This window comes from Homo sapiens, chromosome 2, assembly GCF_000001405.40.
Source record: "Homo sapiens chromosome 2, GRCh38.p14 Primary Assembly".
Lineage (NCBI taxonomy): Eukaryota > Metazoa > Chordata > Mammalia > Primates > Hominidae > Homo > Homo sapiens.
The window spans coordinates 188,376,191-188,397,455 of NC_000002.12; the positions used below are offsets into that span (position 1 = coordinate 188,376,191).

Sequence of the window (21,265 nt, forward strand, 5' to 3'; positions counted from 1 at the left end):
AAGATGATTAATCCCCAAAATTAAATGTAATTAAATCTATAAAACACACTAGACAAATACAATTTTAATCATTAATTAAATACACTTTTAAAAACACCTGTGATAATGACTTACTTGCTTTAATGCCTTTGTATCAATTCATAGCTAAGGTCTTAACGTAAGATTTAGCAATTTAAATTACGTTATTTTATGGACAAAATATATAATAATGACATTAAGGGAAAATAAACTGTAAGGCAACCTTTCCTAATCTAATGATGGAATTGAGTGAACAGTTGGTTACCTGTAAGAAGAGCAACCAAGTTAAAAGAATAAAACGTTCAAAGGCCATAAGCCATAAGGTTTTTATGAAAACCTCAGAAAACCTCATTGAAATGCCATGAAATTAAAAAGCACACCAAAAGGAAAATAAAAGTTATAAAATAAGCATTCAATAAACATATAAACTTATACTTCACTTGCAGTTAAAGAAGTACACATTTTAGAAAAAGGGATAAAATTTGCCAAATTGTCAAAGATTAAAAAGATAATTGCTGGGAAGTGTGGTTTAAATTCAGCATTGTCATATGCTATTGGTGGAAGTCTATGTTGACATATCTTTCCAGAAAATAACCTGATGATGTGCATTAAAATACTAAAAAGATCAAATACTTTTTGACAGGAATTTCACTTTTATGAAGCCACAAGAAATAAATAATTTGGGCCGGGCGCAGTGGCTCATGCCTGTAATCCCAGCACTTTTGGAAGTTGAGGCTGACAGATCATGAGGTCAGGATTTCGAGACCAGCCTGCCCAACATAGTGAAAGCCCATCTCTACTAAAAATACAAAAATTAGCTGGGCGTGGTGGCACATGCCTGTAGTCCCAGCTACTTGGGAGGCTGAGGCAGGAGAATTGCTTGAACCTGGGAGGCGGAGGTTGTGGTGAGCCGAGATTGCACCACTGCACTCCATCCTGGGCAACAGAGCGAGACTCCATCTCAAAAAAAAAAAAAGAAAGAATTTGAGATGAGCACAACAAATATTTATGTACAAAGATATGTACTATGGTTTTATTTACAGTGTGAAAGATATGGAACTTTTAAACACACCAACGGAAATAATAATTACTGTATATTGCTGAGTTTTTATGTGTCGGGCTATATGATTAGTGCTGTGTATAGATTATCTCATTTATGTCTAAGTTCACATTAATATGCAGTTAGCATTTATTTCTAAATTTACCTACCACTATGTTTATAATAGACAAGATTTTTCTCAGTGGAACTCACCTTTCATCACGTGTGGAAGCTGTATGACTTAGGAGAATTGGCCATATTTGTATCTCCAGGAATACTGCCTGATTGTCTTAAGCCAGTCAGTGATTCTGCACCCCTACCAATTGGTTAGCAATGTGCTTATCACTTCATTGGCTCAGATAAGAATGAATACCCAAACTTTCGATTAGGGATTGAGCTAGAAATTATCTTCTCCCCTTAGTTCTTAGTTATGTAAATGGCACAATAAAAATCGAGAATAGGAAATTTATCAATAAGAAAAAATTGTGCAGAAAGCTAACTGGGCAAAAGCTAATGCTACGTAAAAGAAATGCAAATCAAAAACAATATATACGCCAATTTTCCTATTGTAATTCAATTTTCCTATTGAATTAAAATAAATTTTTAAAACCCTGATATATATGAACAGTATAGGAAGATTGGGGTGAGGTTTGCATACTTTTTCACTTCTCTGGGAGTGTAATTTGCCCTATTTTCCAGACAAAGTATTGTAATTATATACAGACTTTGATCCGGTAATTTCCATTCTCCCTTGTCTCAATAGTCAGATGTTTAAGCAGTGATTTATATAACAGATAAAATATATACATAGAATATATCATTCAATACTTTAAGTGTTTCACAAACTTTGTAATCGTTTATTTCTCAAAGCAACAGTGTGTTAGATTATATGGATGAGGAGACTAAGGCATATCCTGTCAAGGCAACATAGTTTTGGAATCAGGCTTATAACACTTTCCAGGCCAGCTACAGTCATTTTAGTCACTACGCTACTTTGCTTCAATTCTACTCATCACAGTGTCTCTATATAGAAAAAAAAAAAAAAAAGAAAAAATCTTAAATGTGGAACATTACAATGGGCAAAAAAAATTATAAGGTGGCATGTTACGCCAATAGTATTTATTTGAAGACTTATTTAATGATATAAGAATATGATTGCACTGTAGGTGACAAAAGGTAGGAAATGAAATTGTACGTTGTCTTTGTATTGCTATAAAGGAATACCTGAGGCTAGGTAATTTATAAAGAAAAGACGTTTATTTGGCTCATGGTTCTGCAAGCTATATACGACACATGGTGCCACCATCTGCTTCTGGTGAGGACTTTAGGCTGTTTAAACTCGTGGCAGAAATTGAAGTGGAGCCTGCATGAGCAGAGATGGTATGGCAAGAGAAGAGGCAAAAGAGAGAGGGGAGGGAGGTGCCAGGCTCTTTTTAACAAACAGCTCTTACAAGGGACTAACAGAGCAAGAACTCACTCATTACCACCAGGATGGCACCAAGCCATTCATGAGGGATCTGCCCCCATGACCCAAATACCTCTCACTAAGTCCCACGTTTAACATTGGGGATCACATTTCAACATGAGGTTTGGAGGGTGAAATAGCTGAATTATTGCATATGTATAGTACAATTTCAGTTTTAGAAAAAGACTGGGTAGAAGGTGTCTAAATATTATCTTTTAGTTTATCTTAATATAGATGATTTTTATTTTCCTTTATAATTTTCTAATTTTCTAAGTGTTTTGTTCATACACACACTCACACTATATATACTGAAAAATATAATAACCAAACGTTTCAAGGAAAGTGACTTGTGTTTTCCACTAATTTCAGCAAAAAGAGTGAATGACTTGATAATTTTTCTCCTACTTTTTCTAATCAGAAAAATTTCCTGCCCTTGAGAGCTTCAAAGCACTGCAGAAAGTTTAACAGCACATGCAATGGAAAGCATGGATTGAATTTGATTTTAAATTGATAAATTTAAAATTCTTATGTGTTCTGAAGAGTTTGTCATGTCTCATCCGCTATCGCTTTTTTCATTACCATACTGAAAGCTGAGGGTATGGAACTCAGAATGCATTTGGAAGAATAAAAGGTGATATGAATTCTTGGTCTTATCTGATTTCCTGGAATAGAAAAACCCAGGATTAAAGCTATCTTTGTCTGGTTCTATTCCTATATAAATTAAATTATAAAGATCTTTTCAGTTTTACATCTTATAAATATGAATGCTTTGAGTCTATTTTGCATTAGCATCTAACAAATATACACACATTTCCAAGAAGTAATTTGCTTGTCTCATCCCCTCCCTTTCATGTCTCTTCAGAGCCGCCTTGGCAATATGATCTTCCTAAATACATATCTAAAACACGTATCTTACTGTACTGCTTCCCTGTTTAATCATACTTCCATCACCTTTAGGGTAAAATACAAATGTTATAACATGGCAGTCAGGAGCCTTCCTGATGTAGCCTCATCTTATTACTAAAGTTTTATACAAAAGAGTTTCCTATAAATATTCTATTTTAAAATAAAATATTCTAACTAATAGCCTATCCTTGAAGATGGCGTGTTCGTTCTTATTCCTGTGCCCTTGCTTATGGTGTTTCCTTTGCCATCCGTGGCTTTCCCCACCATCCTCACTGGACAGCTTCTGTGAACTGAAGGTTAATGAGTCTTATCTCTTTGAGGAAGACTTTTCTGCAGCACCTAGCCTTGCCTTGAACATAGTCCTTATCACACTGATGCATGCAAAGGAGTATACAGACTTATTTTCCTCTCACTAGTAACTAAACAATTGGGCATTCAATAGCTGTCCAGTGAATATTGGTTTAATGAAGAAAATTACTTTTCTAATTTTATTTTCCTTAGAGTGTAGGGGTATAGGTATGACTATTTGCATGTCATTTCCTTAGTGAGATGACTAGAATACATAGGAAGTGATTGCTCCAAGCTACTTAGGACAATCATCCTAATATCACCTTCTTTGTACCTTTTGCTTGGAACATGGGGTGAAAACATTTGAGAAGGTGTCTTAAAGGCATACTAAGGCATGTGTACTTTGTGCATTGGTGATGTGGCCAAATTACTTGTTAGAGAAATTACGACTGGCTAGGGATGGATAGGTGGGGAGTGTAAACTGGGAGGGAAAACAAACTGGAGATTGTTGTATTAAGCAGAATTGAATTTATTTAACTGCATGTAGGTGGTAAGGGAAAAAAGAGTGATTAATCATGCCAGATTTCAGGTGTGAGCAATCAGTGGGGATTGAACGTTTACTTACTTAAAGTCACAGGACAAACAAGAAAAAAATAGAAAAGAAAATCAGGGCCAAGATCTTATTTTATATATTTTGAATTTAGGAGCTTATAGAGGATAAGAAAGAAATATCCAGGAAAACTCCTAAAACATTTTGCAAATTAGATTAAATACTGTTAAATTATTGGACTTAGGTAAAAAAGAGAATAATGATTTTGAAAATATTTTAAGATCATGATAATGGTGGTCTGTATTTCATATGATGACAAGTAGAAATACAAGTTGGCCTGACTTCTCTGTTTTGCTTGGTTTATTGCATATAGAATATTTAAGATTTACCTGTTACATTAACAAATTGAAGCATTTTGTCATATTGCAGCATTAATAATGTTTTTCTTAAATGGTACTGTTGGGGATAAAGGAAGTTTTAGTAAAGAAATAGTTGGTTTCATTTAATTTCATATACGTCTTCAAATTGTGTGAAAATATATAATAAATGGTGGCAAAACAGTATCAAATTGAGCATATTATGTTCATACTAAAATTTTAAGAAGCATTTGAATTGGAAATCAGGATTTTATATTTTAAAATAAAAATATGTTCAAAAGAGCAGCCCCTAAGCCAGTCTGAGTTTTGCAAGAATATTCAAAGTGCTCTTTCTATGAAAAATCTAATCATATCAGACATAGAATAATAGATCCCATTTGGAAAATATGTCATTTCCTGCAAGAAGAAAGGCAGAAGTAGGCATAAGTTAGTTCTTATTTTTTGATATGTGTATTTTTGTGCTCTTCTTTATTCTGTCACATTGCATAAAATATTCTAGTTTGAAAAGTATTTCCTGCAGTATGACTGGGTTTCAGTCAACGTAAGATAAAAATAAAGGCTACGGGGATGTTAAATTGAATTGACCATTTCAAGGATAATATTTTCTTTTATTAAATTTTGGAATTAGATCAATTGAAGAGTTTTATTAACAATTATTTATCTTGATTAAATTGAATTGACCATTTTAAGGAAAATATTTTCTTTTATAAAATTTGGAATGAAATGTATTGAATAGTTTTGATAACAATTATTTATCTCGAATTATTTCTCTCTAATTTCTGTTCATAAGATCAATAGTTGTCAAAAGAAAAATGGAAAAACTATATCATCCTAAAAAAGAACTAATTTTGTTCTTCCTTTTCTCTCCTCTCATTTAAGACCAACAAACAAGAAAAACATGATCTGATAAAAGACTGTGGAAATTATGACATGGTTTTATAGTTTACCTTTTAACTATGTGTCATGCTTGAAATTTCCTGTCCAGGATAAACACATCTATTTTTAGAGCTGGAAGTATGTGATGATACAACCCTTACATTTTACAGCAAGGTGAAATGAATTGTGTCATTCATACATGCTAAGATCCAGTGAATGCTAAGAAAATAACATACGATTTAATAAATAATAGTGTTACTGAGTAAGCAAACATTATTTTTCACTAAAATTATAAAATATAAATATATGGCCTTAAAATATACTGTGCTAATATTTTAATTCAAAATTTAAAATTGTTGCTTTTTGTAGTAGATGCTGTTGATGATCAGCCTATAACCTCTCTTTTAGTGCTGTAGTTCAGACTGGCAAAATTTCTAATGCTTATCCTGCATTTCTCTACCTAAGGGATTCTTTGGCCACAAGAGACCACTTTGCCAACCAAATAGGCTGAAAGTTCCAGGGAATTAATGCCCCTGGGAGCAACCCTCAGCTAATGACTAATGAGGATTGGTGTATAAATATGCTAGCTCTCATTCTTACAGTGAGATATATCTGAGGGGTGTATTTCACAGTGGATGTCTGATTTTCCCCAGCCAGATTAAGCTGCAGTTGCCAGTAGTGTTACAGGCCTGATAATGATCTCTGTGTTGGTAGGAGGTCTTCCACTCCGGGTCTCACTTCTTTCTTTTCATCCCTGCTAATATTTCCTGGGATCATCTCCCAAATAAACTTCTCGCATTGAAGTTATTATTACCTCAGTGTTTGCCTCTGGGGCAACCTAAACTGAGATTCTTTCTTTCTCTCTAAAGTCATGTTAGAATATGAAAAAGAAGCTGGGCGCGGTAGCTCACACCTGTAATCCACCCAGCACTTTGGGAGGCCAAAGCGGGCAGATCACCTGAGGTCAGGGGTTCGAGACCAGTCTGGCCAACATGGCGAAACCCCCTCTCTACTAAAAATACAAAAATTAGCCGGGCATGATGCCACACAGTTGTATTCCCAGCTACTCGGGAGGCTGAGACAGAAGAAAACAAATACATTGAACAAATAGGTCAATAGGCTTCTGAAGAATATTGTGGCTAAGCTGGAAAACGATGGCTTTCAAAGTATTCAGATGGCTTAGATTGAAACACAGAGGAAGAGATAAAATAATATTTGAGATCTATCTAAGAAAGTCAAAAATATAGATATGGCATCATCAATGTCTGTATCAAGGGGTTTGTATCAAAGTTATGACGGGAAGCAGGGCACAAGACTTAGATATGTTTCTCCATTCTTCCCCCTCCCTCAAAAAGATCAGGTCTTTTTAGTGTTTTGGCAAAAGATACTATGCTGTGAATTCTGGTACTATTTGAACTTATGTCAGCGGTACATTCGAAATAATATAATTAAAGGAAGACATAATTTGTGCTGTTGTGTCTACCCAGAAAGAATTTTTGTTTTGTTTGTTGGAATAAAAATAGAAAAGTCTTAACCAATTAACATATCTCTTCTAGTTATAGCATGATTATGAATAGAAGGATAAGCTATCTAAATGCCTTGCCGTAAGAGTCAAAGTAGAATGAAAATGAAAGTAAATCAGTGCCTTCTAAAATTCAGTTTCACCTTCTTAATCATCATGAACAGGGTATGTGCTTGGTTAGTCCAAATAAATCATATGTGAAAGAGATAGTTGGGGCTACTTCTTGTTCAAGGGGGAAAGGCATATATTGTTAAAGAACTATCACCAGGCTTTAATAGTAACATATCTGTGAGTTAAAACATTTAACACATCATCTACAAATCTTGCTATTTTCCATTACCTAGGTATCAGTAATAATGTTTTCCAAATATTTACATATTTTATCATTATTTCCCTATTATTTGGTAACTTTCTTGAACATTTGCAAGAAGCATAATTGGAATTTTAAAAGATATGCTGGACTTCTAAATTAAAATAAACAGAAATGTAATTATTGATTAATTCTAAGTCCAATTATATTTTTCTTTTTAGTTATTTATGATTCCATCTGATATACATAGGAGAGAAACTGATAGAAGAATTCTGATGGCAACTGTATGATAGAAGCTATATAAAGTCAAGTGTCCATTTTCTTTCAACTATATTTGAGCATACCCAGGTAAGAATAAATGATTGTTTATACATTTTCCATTATTTCCAAAAAGGACTTGAAATTATAAAAATGCTTTTATTATGTGTTGAATGTTTAAAAATATAGTCTTTTGTTGTAAAAAATAGTAAAATTCATAAAAGTAAAATAAAATTAAAAGCACTGATGAGCCTTTTTTCTGAAAATAACTTCTGTCATCATTTTGTTCTATATAATTTTATTTTTGTTTTGTTGGATTTTTCCTTTAAGCAAAGTTACAATGATAGTATTATATTTAGTTGATTTTCATGCAACTGATAAAGACATACTCATGACTGGGAAATTTACAAGAGAAAGACGTTTAATGGACTTACAGTTCTACATGGCTGGGGAGGTCTCATAATCATGGAGGAAGGTGAAAGGCACGTCTCACACAGCAGCAGGCAAGAGAAGAGAGCTTGTGCAGGGAAACGCCTGTTTTTAAAACCATCAGATTTTGTGAGACCCACTCACTATCATGAGAACAGCACAGGAAAGACTCGCCCCCATGATTCAATCACCTCCCACCAGGTTCCTGCCACAACATGTGGGAATTGTGGGAGGTACAAATCAAGATAAGATTTGGTTGGGGACACAGCCAAACCTTATCATTCCATCCCTGGCCCCTCTCAAATCTCATGTCCTCACATTTCAAAACCAAACATGCCTTCCCAACAATCCCCCAAAGTCTTAACTCATTTCAGCGTCAACTCAAAAGTCCACAATCCAGAGTCTCATTAGAGACAAGGCAGGTCCTTTCTGCCTATGAGCTTGTAAAATCAAAAGCAAGTTAGTTACTTCCTAGATAAAATAGGGTACAGGAATTGGGTAGATACAGCCATTCCAAATGGGAGAAATTGGCCAATGCAAAGGGGCTACAGGCCCCACGCTGTTCCAAAATCCAGTGGGGCAGTCAAATCTTAAAGCTCCAAAATGATCTCCTTTGATGCTATGTCTCACATCCAGATCACGCTGATGTAAGAGGTGAGTTCCCATGGTCTTGGGCAGCTGCGCCTCTGTGGCTTTGCAGGGTATAGCTGCCCTCCTGGCTGCTTTCATGGGCTGACATTGAGTGTCTGAGTCTTTTCCAGGTGCAGGGTGCAAGTTGTTGGTGGATCTACCATTCTAGGGTCTGGAGGATGGTGGCCCTCTTCTCACAGCTCCACTAAGTGGTGCCCCAGTAGGGACTCTGTGTGGGGGCTCTGACCCCACATTTGCCTTCCACACTGCCCTAGGAGAGGTTCTCCATGAGGACCCTACTCCTGCAGCAAACTTCTGCCTGGACATCCAGGCATTTCCATACATCTTCTGAAATCTAGGCAGAGGTTCCCAAACCTCAATTCTTGACTTCTGGGCATCCACAGGCTCAATACCATGTGGAAGCTGCCAAGACTTGGGGCTTGCACCCTCTAAAGCAACAGCCAAGCCATGCCTTGGCCACTTTTAGTCATGGCTGGAGCAGCTGGGATGCAGGCCCATCAAGTCCCTAGACTTCGTAAAGCAGAGGGACCCTGGGCCAGGAAATCATTTTTTCCTCCTAAACCTCCGGGGTTGCCATGAAGACCTCTGGCATGCCCTGGAGACATTTTTCCCCATTATCTTGATGATTAACATTTGGCTCCTTGTTACTTATGCAAATTTATGCAGCTAGCTTGAATTTCTCCTCAGAAAACGGGATTTTCTTTTCTATTGCATTGTCAGACTGCAAATTTTCTGAACTTGTATGCTCTGCTTCCCTTATAAAACTGAATGTCTTTAACAGCACCCAAGTCACATCTTGAATGCTTTGCTGCTTAGACATTCCTTCCTCCAGATACCCGAAATCACCTCTCTCAAGTTCAAAGTTCCACAAATCTCTAGGGCAGGAGCAAAATGCCGCCAGTCTCTTTCCTAAAACATAACAAGAGTCACCTTGGCTCCAGTTCCCAACAAGTTCCTCATCTCTGTCTGAGACCACCTCAGCCTGGATGTCATTGTCCATATCATTATCAGCATTTTGGTCAAAGCCATTCAACAAGTCTTTAGGGAGTTCCAAACTTTCCCACATTCTCCTGTGTTCTTCTGAGCCCTCCAAACTGTTTCAGCCTCTGCCTGTTAACCAGTTCCTAAGTTGCTTCTACATCTTTAGGTATCTTTTCAGCAGCATCCAACTCCTGGTACCAATTTACTGTATGAGTCTGTTTTCACACTGCTGATGACGACATACCCAAGACTGGGCAATCTACAAAAGAAAGCAGTTTAATGGACTTACAGTTCCATGTGGCTGGGGAGACCTCACAACCATGGAAGAAGGTGAAAGGCACATCTCACACAGCAGCAGACAAGAGAAGAGGGCTTGTGTAGGAAAACTCCCATTTTTAAAACCATCAGATCTTGTGATGGTTTTAAACCCACTCACTATCATGAGAACAGCGTAGGAAAGACCCACCTCCATGGTTCAATCACCTTCCACAAGGTTTCTCCCATGATGTGTGGGAATTGTGGGAATTACAATTCAAGGTGAAATTTGGGTGGGGATACAGCCAAACCATATCAATTATATATATACTTTGTTGATTTTCTTTATTATTGTGTAACAAATTTGTTTTCTTCTGTTCTTTGAGAATATGAATTAGTGTTTTGTATTTTCTATTATATCTGTTAATATATAATATGTTTTAAAATATTTTTATTTTGTATTTATTATTCAGTCAATATTCTTATAGATAAATTGATATGTACATCACTTGGTTTGCATTAGTAGCATTACTAGAATTGGTATCACTGGCTCAATGACTGTGATCTTTTAAAGGCTTTTTATTGTTATTGCTGAGTTTACCGGTAGAAGGTAGTAACAAGTTAAAGTTTTCATTAGCCAGTTTTGAAAATATTGAATCACTGATTAGTGTTTTCTCATTCAAATAATTTTCCTAATGAAACCCAGTTTAAGTTGAAAAAAATGAAAATTAAATTAAAATTTTAAATTTTGGTTGCAGGCAGTAGCAATTTCTTTCTCACATCTATTCAGCAATATATTCCCTTACATAACTAAGCCTAGAGGAAAAGTGAATGTTATATGGCCGAGTGTGGTGGCTCATGCCTGTAATCCTGCACTTTGGGAGGCCAAGTCGGTGGATTAACTGAGGTCAGGAGGTCAAGACCAGCCTGGCCAACATGATGAAACCCCGTCTCTACTAAAAATACAAAAATTATCTGGGTGTGGTGGCAAGTGCCTGTAATCCCAGTTACTTGAGAGGCTGAGGCAGGAGATCCCCTTGAACCCAGGAAGCAGAGTTTGCAGTGAGCCGAGGTTGCACCACTGCACTCCAGCCTGGGCAATAAGAGTGAGACTCCATCTAAAAAAAAAAATAAAGAAAAGTGTATATTATATATGTATAATCTTCCACATTGTTTAAAAATACACCATTTAGAAATAATATCAAGTATACATTTATCTAATTAATATTTATTGAAAACTTATACTTATCAAGCACTGTGATTAGCAATGGCAGTGAGGATGGTAAACATTAGAGAAGGGAAGGCACATAAATAGTTCCTTGTCACCTCTAACTTTCAATAAAATATGGCAAGATAAGAAATACGTTTTGGTTTCTTATGTTTAAGTAGGCTGTATTAAGTGACAAGAAAGAAGTAAAATAATAGGGCAGTTTGTAATGGTAACACTTTCAGCTTGGGAATTGAGGAACACTTTCACAAACAAAAGACCACTTGAGTTGTGCTTTTTAAGGTAGAGAGGAACACTGACAGGCAAACATTTAAATGGAGAGTCAACTTGGAGCAAAGGTACTGGGCTGGCAAACCATAGGGATGGGATGTTCAGGAAATTGGAAAGAGAGATTAGATATAGCAGAGTAGTTGGAAGTGTGTTCTGTGATTTGGATTCTTATAACTAGGCATTTGTGTCTCATTATTATATGGAGAGGAACAATTGCAGGGGAGCCAGATGAACCATGCTATCCTTTAAGAAGTTTTTTTTTTAAATTTTTTTGTTATTATTATACTTTAAGTTTTAGGGTACATGTGCACAATGTGCAGGTTAGTTACATATGTATACATGTGCCATGCTGGTGTGCTGCACCCGTTAACTCGTCATTTAGCATTAGGTATATCTCCTAATGCTATCCCTCCCGCCTCCCCCCACCCCACAACAGTCCCCAGAGTGTGATGTTCCCCTTCCTGTGTCCCTGTGTTCTCATTGTTCAATTCCCATCTATGAGTGAGAACATGCGGTGTTTGGTTTTTTTGTCCTTGCGATAGTTTACTGAGAATGATGATTTCCAATTTCATCCATGTCCCTACAAAGCCACATTTTCTTAATCCAGTCTATCCCTTTAAGAAGTTTAATCTAGGCCAACTGCATTGGCTCATGCCTGTAATTCCAGCACTTTGGGAGACTGAGGCAGGTGGATCGCTTGAGGACAGGAGTTCAAGACCATCCTGGAAAACATAGTGAGAGCCCATCTCTACCAAAAAAAAAAAAAAAAAGTAGAAAAACTTAGCCAGACAGGATGGTGTATACTTGTAGTCCCAGCTCCTTGAGAGGCTGAAGTGGGAGGATCACTTGAGTCCAGGAGGTGAAGGTCACAGTGAGACGTGATCACACCACTGCCCTCCAGCCTGGGTGACAGACCAAAACTCTGTCTCAAAAAATCAAAAAAAACAAAAAACAAAAAGAAGTTTAATTTAAAAGTGATATGTGTGTTAGACTAATGAAGAGAGAGCAGCTCAAAGGAAGGCAGATTAGTTTGCAGGCTTTTCCTTACATTTTGATCACTATTTGCTGAACCCTTGCCGCTCGCCAGGCACTAAGCTAGGAACTGTAGGAAAATAAAACGATGAAGACATAATCTCTACCCTTGAGGAGTTTATAATGTAGCAGATGTACCTGTATGACAAACAAATGAATAGAATACACCATGAAAGCACAAGAGAATCATGTTTAAGTAAAGACTAGTGAGTAATAATTATGTTGGCATGCAGATACTGAGTTACCAGTAGCCTAGGTTTCCCCAAAAACATTAAGTCTGATCAAGGTTGCCCAAGAGGCAATGTTTCTAAATTTTTAAATAATTCAGGAAGAAACAATAGAAGCTTTGTCTAGGGCGAAAAAAATGTAAATAAAAAAGAAAGTGTGGTAGATGAGACTTGGTAGTAGTAGAAGCAGTTAAGCGGGGATTAAAGAAACAGGCCTTTTGTTTAGGCAAGAGGGGCATGTTGATGACAGGCACAGAAATGGGGAAAACAGAGTAAAAGCGGGTTTTGTTATTGTTGGTAAAATTTGTTTGGCTTTGAACACTGAAGAATTTTCTCTCCTGCTTCACTTTCCTGTGTTCAAACCTTTGCTAGAGCACTCATAACATTTTAAAATTTCATTGCAATTCCTTATTGAGAATTGAGGAATATTATTGAGGATTAATTAAGGATTCATTTATTTATTACTAAAAATTATTTCCATCCTTTAAAAATAAAAGTATAATAGAGTAATTTACACCAAACAAAACAAAAATATAAATAAAAGACCTGATTTCATTCATTACCACAATGTATATAATTTAGCCTTACACTTTCCAGCAGTCACAAAAATGGATATATGTTCTTTCTCTAAAAGCTGAGATAAATGTATTATGAGTCTTAGTGTAATGGATAGGAAAAGTGTCCTTACCTCCTAGAGGTACCTTATATATTAAATTGTTAAAAAATAAAGGGAATTAATTCTTTAAAAAAATTTCAGTAGGTCTTGGGGTATCAGCGGTTTTTAGTTACATGGATAAATTGTACAGTGGTGAAGTCTGAGATTTTTGCACACTTGTCACCTGAGTAGTGTGCATTGTACCCAATATGTAGTTTTTTATTCCTCACCCAGTTCCCACCCTCCCCATTCTGGATGTAGCTATCCAGAGTCTCCAAAGTCTCTTATACCACTCTGTATGCCTTTGCATACCCATAGCTTAGCCAAGCGAGAACATGTGGGATTTGTTTCTTTTATTCCTGAGTTATTTCACTTGGAATAATGGCCTTGAGCTCCATCCAAGTTGCTGCAAAAGACATTATTTCATCCTTTTTTTTTTTTAAATGGCTGAGTAGCATTTCATGGTGTACATATAGCACGTTTTCTTTACTCATTGGTCCATGGGCACTTAAGTTGCTTCCATATCTTTGCCTTTGTGAATTGTGCTGCAAAAAACATACGCATGCAGGTGTCTTTTTGTTATGACTTCTTCTACTTTGGGTAGATACCCAGTAGTGGAATGGCTGGATCAAATGTTAGATCTACTTTTAGTTCCTTAAGAAATGTTCATGCTGTATTCCATAGATATTGTACTGATTTACATTCCCATCAGCAGTGTATGTGCTCTGTTTTTGCCACTTCCACGCCAAATCTATTATTGTCTTTTGACTTTTTAATAATAGCTATTCTTGCAGGGCATCTCATTGTGGTTTTAATTGGCATCGTCCTGATGATTAGTGATGTTGAGCATTTTTTCAAATGTTTGTTGGGTATTTGTTTATCTGCTTTTGAGAAATATCTATTTATGTCATTTGTCCACTTTTAGATGGGATTATTTGTTTTTTTCTTGCTGATTTATTTAAGTACCTTGTGGATTTTGGATATTTGTCCATTGTCGGATGCATAGTTTGCAAATATTTTCTCCCATTCTATGTGTTGTCTGTTTATTCTGTTGATTATTTCTTTTGCTGTATGGAAGATTCTTAGTTTAATTAGGTCCCATTTATTTATATTTGTTTTTGTTGCATTTGCTTTTGTGGTCTTAGTCATAAATTCTTTGCCTAGGCTGAAGTTCAGAAGAGTTTTTCCTGGGTTATCTTCTAGGTTTTTTATGGTTTCAGGTCTTAGATTTAAGGATTTGACCCATCTTGAGTTGTTTTTTTAAAATAAGATGAGAGATAGGGATCCAGTTTCACTCTTCTACATGTAGCTATCCAGTTTTCCCAGAACCATTTATTAAGTAGGGTGTCCTTTCCCCAAGTTATGTTTATATATGCTTTGTCAAAGATCAGTTGGTTATAAGTATTTGACTCTATTTCTGTCTTCTCTATTATGGTCCATTGGTCTATGTGTTTACTTTTATGCCAGTACCATGCTGTTTTGGTAACTGTAAACATATAATATAATTGAAAATGTAATGCCTCTAGATTTGTTCTTTTGCTTAGGATTGCTTTGGCTGTTTGAGCACTTTTTTTCATTTCATATGAATTTCAGGATTTTTTTTCTAATTCTGTGAAAATGATGTTGCTATTTTGATGGAATTGCATTGAATCTGTAAATTGCCTTGGACAGTATGGTCATTTTCACATTATTTATTCTTCCAATCCATGAGCATGGAATGTGTTTCCATTTGTTGGGGTCATGTATGATTTCTTTCAGCAGTGTTTTTTAGTTCTCTTTGTAGAGATCTTTCACATCCTTGGTTAAGTATATTCCTAGGTATTTTATTTTAATTTTTGCAGCTATTGTAAAAGAGACTGAGTTCTTGATTTGATTCTCAATGTGGTTGTTGTTGGCATATAGCAGTGCTACTGATTTGTGTAAACTGATTTTGTAACCTGAGACTTTACTGAATTTGTTTATCAAATCTAGGAGTCTTTTGGAGAAGTCTTCATGGTTTTCTATGTATACAATTACATCATCAGTGAATAGTGATGGTTTGACTTCCTGTTTTCCAATTTGGATGCCCATTATTTGTTTATCTTGCCTTATTGCTCTGGTTAGGACTTCCAGTACTATATTGAATAGAAGTGCTGAAAATGGGCATCCTTTTCTCATTGAGGTTCTCAGGGGAAATGCTTTAAACTCTTCCCCATTCAGTATGATTTGGCTGTGAGTTTGTGTTATATGGCTTTTATTATTTTGAGGTATGTACCTTCTATGCCTAGTTTTTTGAGGGTTTTTACCATAAAGGAAAACTGGACTTTACTGAATGCTTTTTCTGTATCTATTGAGATGTTCATATGGTTTTTGTTTTTAATTCTCTTTAGGTGATGTGTGTTGCATTATTGACTTGTGTATGTTAAACCATTCCTGCTTCACTGGGAGAAAACCCACTAGATCATGCTGTATTATTTTTTTGATGTGCTGTTGCATTTGGTTAGCTAATATTCTATTGAGGATTTTTGCATCTATGTTCATCAGGGATACTGGTCTATTGTTTTCTTGTTTTATTATGTCCTTTCCTCACTTTGGTATCAGGGTGATACTGGCTTCATATAATGAATTAGGGAGGATTACCTCTTTCTCAATCTTTTCACTAAGATTGGTATCAATTGTTTTTTGAATGTCTGATAGAACTCAGCTGTGAATGCACCTGGCCCTGGGCTTTTATTGTTGGCAGTTTTTGTTTGTTATGAATTCAATTTCACTGCTTTTTATTGGTTTGTTCAGGGTTTTTATTTCTTCTTGATTTAATCTAGAAGAGTTGTATGTTTTCAGGAATTTGTCCATTTTCTCTAGACTTCCTAGTTTGTGTGCATAGAGGTGTTCATAGTAGTCTCAAATGATCTTTTGTATTTCAGTGTTGTTGGTTATAATGTCCCATTTTCATTTTTAATTTAGCTTATTTGAAATGTTTCTCTTCTTTGTTAATCTAGCTAATGGTCTATCTAGTTTGTTTATCTTTTCAGAGAACCAGCTTTTTGTTTCATTTATCATTTGTATTGTTTTCTTAAATTTCATTTAGTTCTGCTCTGATCCTCATTATTCCTTATCTTCTGCTAGTTTTGAGTTTGGTTTGTTCTTGTTTCTCTATTTCCTTGAGATGTGACATTAGGTTGTCAATTTGTGATCTTTCAGATTTTTGATGTAGGCATTTAGCAATATAAATTTTGCTTTTAGCATTGCTTTTGCTTCAGAGATTTTGTAACTTATGTCGCTATTATGCTTCATTTCAAAGATTTTTGAAATTTCCATCTTGATCTTGTTATTAACTCAAAAATCATTCAGGAGCAGATTGTTTAATTTCCATGTATTTGTATAATTTTGAGAGTTCCTTTTAAAGGTGATTTCTAGCTTTATTCTCCTGTGATCTGAGAAGTTGATATGATTGTGATTATTTTAAATTTATTAAGAATTGTTCTGTGGCCTACCATATGGTTTATCTTGGAGAATGTTTCATGAGCTGATGAGAAGACTATATTCTGTGTTTTTTGGATAGAATGTTCTGTAAATATCTGTTAGGTCAGTTTGTTCTAGAGTATAGCTTAAGTCCATTTTTTTTTTGTCTTTCTGTCTTGATGATTTATCTAGTGCTGTCAGTGCCACGTTGAAGTCCCCCCGCGATTACTATGTTGCTACCCATCTCATTTCTTAGGTTTAGTAGTAAGTATTTTTAAAATCTGGGATCTCTAGAGTTAGATGCATATAAATTTAAGATTGTAATATCTTTTTGCTAGACTGATTTTTTTATTATTATGTAATGACCTTCTTTTTTTATTCTTTCTGCTTTAAAGTATGTTTATCTGATGTAAGAATAACTACTCCTGCTTGATTTTGGTTCCCATTTGCATAAAATGTCTTTATCCATCCTTTTATCCTGAGTTTATATGAGTCTTTATGTGTTAGGTGAGTCTCTTGAAAACAGCAGATATTTGGTTTGTGATTTTTTATTCATTCTACCAGCTTGTGTCTTTTAAGTGGAACATTAAGGCCATTTATGTTCAATGTTAATATTGAGATGTGAAGTACCGTTCCAGTTATTATGTTGATCATTACCTAGATACTTTGTTTTCTTCTTTGTTATTGTTTTTTAAGCACCTTGAGTTTTATGCTTTCAAGAGATTCTGTTTTGATGCATATTCACCTTCTCTTTTAAGATTTAGAAACCCTTTTAGCATTTCTTGTAGGGCAGCTCTGGTTCATAATTTATGAAATTTAGTTTTACTGGATACAAAATTATTGGCTGACAGTTATTCTGTTTAAGGAGGTATAGATAGGAACCAGTCCCTCCTGCCTGGTAAGGTTTTTGCTGAGAAGTCTGCTGTCAGTTTGACAGGCTTTCCTTTATAAGTTACCTGATGCTTTTGTCTCACTGCTCTTAGAATTCTTTTTTTAAACATTGGCTTTAGATAGCCTGATATGTGTATGCCTTGGTCATGTCCTTTTTGCAATAAATCTCCCAGGAGTTCTTTGATCTTCTTATATTTAGATATCTAAATCTCTGGCAAGGCCAGGAAAGTTTTTTTCAATTATTCACTCAAAATAAGTTTTCCAAGCTTTTTGCTTTCTCTTCTCCCTTAGGAACACCAGTTATTCTTAGGTTTGATCATTTTATGTAATCCCATATTTCTTACAGACATTATTCATTTCTTCTGTTTATTTTTTCTTTATTTTTGTCTGATTGGGTTAATTCAAAAGCTTTGTCTTTGAGCTCTGAAATTCTGTCTTCTAGTTGGTTTAGTCTATTATTAAAACTTTCCTCTGCATTTTGTACTTCCCTAAATGTGTCTTTCATTTCCAGACTTTCAGGTTGGGTTTTCTTTAAAATATCTTTCTCTTTAGAAAAATTTTCATTCATATCCTGAATTTAAAAAAAAATTAAGTTAGTTTTCACCTTTCTCTTGTATCTCCTTGAGTAGCTTAATTATCAACATTTTGAATTTTTTATTTGGTATTTCAAAAATTTCATCTTGGTTTGGACCCATTTCTGGAGAGCTACTGTGATTTTTATAGTTGGGGGTATTATAGAACCCTGTTTTGTCATATTGCCAGAATTATTTTTCTGGTTTGTTCTCATTTGGGCAGATTATTTCTTCTGTTATTCTTTAATTTGTTTTTGATTTGACTTTTTAAAAAAAATTCCTTTTGTCTCCATTAAGGATGTGACTTTAATGTTTATACTTTATGGTAACCTAATGCAGCTCTTGGTGCTTCCAGGGGTGAAGTCTCTGTATGAGTTCCTTGGTTATAGAGGGTGTTTGTATGATGGCTTTCTCAAATGCTGGTTGTTGCAGTGTGCTTGATGTGTGAAGAAGTTCACTCTCTCCTCTGGGGTTGGAATGGCAAAGGCCTCTTGAAGCTTATCTCATTCCCCTGTGCTGTGAACATTTTTATGTATTTATTTTTTCCACAGTATTTTATTTACTGTGTTGAATAGTTCCAGCTTCAGGCCGGTAGAGAAGGTTTCCCTGGGTAGAAACTGGGTGTGGCTAAAGCAGGTGGATAAATGCAATATCCAGTAGTGGACAGAGGTCCCAGCCTTGACAGAGGCAGGTGGAGAAACTCTCAGTGCAACACACTGAGGTCTTATCAGGGGGAACAGTCGGAGGCACCTGAACTCCCCTGTCAGGCCAGCAGGAAAGCAGTCCACCTCCTAGTTACACTACTGACTCAGTATTTTGGCTATTCAGATCAGACCAGCACAAGTTTTCATCTGCACAAATGTGCATATTCCAAGTAGAGTGGAATTCTAACACTTGTGCAAGCACGAACCTGGCGTGCACTCCACCTGTGGGGATATAATCCCCTTGAATTGTTCCAGAAAGGCTGTCCTTTGGTGTACTCATACTGACCTCCCATGGAAGAAGCCCCAGCTGGGTCTGCAGTGCTGGACAAGGGGCAAAACAAGTCCTCTTCTCCAAGACCCTTCATGAGCACCAGGGCTGCCTGACTGTTGGCATGGAGCTTCAGATTTTCCCCACTGAGCCTGGCAGTGCATTTGTGCCTTTGCTGAAAGGAGCTTCCCATCAGCAGAAAGTTCTGGGATTCAAGTTCTGCCATCCAGATTTTTTTGTCCCATGAGGTGTTCCCTTGATATAGTGCACTTCTCATTCTGCTAGAAGTAGTATCTCTAAAGACAAGACTATAGTGAATGCTGCTGCTCCTCTGAGTCTAGCCACCCAATGGGGCTGCCACACTCTAGGTTGGTGGTGGGGATATTTTCAAGGGATCCAGTGTTGTGACCTATTCTGAGGTCTTCCAGAAGCAGGTACTAGTGCCAGCTCTGGTGGGGGTAGCAGGGGGGTAACATAGCCTCTGTGAGATTTATTGATTATAAATAGCCTTAGTGTGTTGGCTTTCTCAAATGCCAGTTGTAGTAGTAATGAACTGGTCACATGGACAGACTCAGGACCTCATGATTAGCCAGGGTGTTGCAGGCAACAGTGACAGCTGAGGTCAGACACAAGTTTTTCCATCCTTGGTGCTGTGTTATTCTGCCTGCAGATGCTATAATGGACTGTGTCAGTTGGCCTCCAGCCAGGAGGTGGCGCTTGCAGAAGAGTGCTGGATGCTGTAGAAGTGGTGGGATTTGTGCTCTTTTTATGCTACCCAGGGGAAGTACTCTGGTTTCTTAGGCAATTGGTGGGGTCATAGAACTGCCAAAATTTCTGTCTTTCATGTTAAGCTACCAGAACAGCCGGAGGGGCAAAGCCAGGTGGGGGCTGGGTGGGAAAGATCCGAGCTGTGGTTCCCCACATGTGGGACAAACAAGGGCTCCTGTGAGGGCCCAGGGGCGGTTCTTTGGCTACTGGAGTAATGTTTCAGAGAGGAGCACAGCTGCCTCAGCTGTACAGAAGAGTCCATATGCGGAGCGGGGAGTAACAGGTGGCAGTATGTTCCACTCAGCTCCCCACACTGGCTAAAGCAGGTCTCACATCTGCAGTGTTCCACTAGCAGCAGCAAGCTAAGTTCCAGGTAGTTTGCATTCAGAACTTAAAACTGCCCGAGGCCATAAGCCTGCCTGGTGGAGACAGCAACCATGGCTTTCAGGCCACAGCCGTCCCAGTCTGCCGGCAAAGCTGGGACGTCCAGCTCCTGTATTCATGGCTGCAGCACACTTCCCACTTGCCTCCCATTTCTGGCCAAAGGAATTTGTCCCCGCTCGAGATTATATTGTAAATTTCAGTTGGGAACTTCTCTCAACCTGCCACAGTCACCTGAGTTAGCTGGCAGGCTTCCACGAAATTTCCTGTGAAGTAGGATGAGGAATGGTTTCCCTCCATCCGTGCTGGAGACTGGGAATGCACACGTCTCTTCCTGCTGCTGCTCCCACTTTTATATTGCCCACGGCTCCCTAAATTAGTCTCAGCACTGGTTAGGGTAAGGCCTTCCCCTGTAGCCTGGATTGCCAGGTTCTGCAGTAGGAGTGTATACCCTGAAGGCAGTTTATCCCACTCCCACATTCGTAGGACTTGGTTTTCTGCCTGGCTTAGAAGATGCAGGCTGTAGCCTACCACCTCTTTCAAAGCATCTGTGATTTCTTTCAGTTTTCTTGTTAAGTTTCTACCTTGCTTCTTGTAAGAAAATTCACGGTGTGATTATCTACGTACTCTTTTGTCTTTCCAAGTGAGTGAGGCATGATAACAGTGCCTCCAGTCTGCCATCTTGTAGAAAAATGAATTTCTTAATACATAACTATGAGTAGGTACGTTTTTTACAAGTTCAGAATCTACCTTCTCTAAAATATCATTCCTAACTTTTGGAATCTGGACCAGATCCTTCTATGTGCTGTGTACCTTAACACCATGTACATTTCTTTATCATATAACACATAGTGTGGGCTTGTCTACTATACCCTGAGACGATAAGATTCTTGAGGACTGGGT

The 21,265-nt window shown here is 36.9% G+C and overlaps 1 protein-coding gene across 64 annotated transcripts in view, besides 1 other annotated feature; it reads left to right on the forward strand.

The window, feature by feature from the left end:
• The window catches only part of GULP1 (GULP PTB domain containing engulfment adaptor 1), a 304,053-nt gene that overhangs the window by 84,317 nt on the left and 198,471 nt on the right, over window positions 1-21,265 (forward strand). For 59 of the 64 annotated variants that reach the window (NR_164744.1, NR_164745.1, NM_001375929.1 and 56 more), the window contains one exon: window positions 7,573-7,699. The exons of the other annotated variants lie outside the window; for them this stretch is intronic. The gene's annotated coding sequence lies outside the window, so the exon portion shown is untranslated. The remainder of the gene's footprint in view (window positions 1-7,572; window positions 7,700-21,265) is intronic. 64 annotated transcript variants of the gene reach the window in all.
• Window positions 19,268-19,767: an enhancer, noted in NCBI's record as "H3K27ac hESC enhancer chr2:189260185-189260684 (GRCh37/hg19 assembly coordinates)". NCBI's record gives its function as "activates a minimal SCP1, AML or CMV promoter by ChIP-STARR-seq in naive H9 embryonic stem cells {active_cell/tissue: H9 hESC(naive)}" and the evidence as "EXISTENCE:reporter gene assay evidence [ECO:0000049][PMID:30033119]".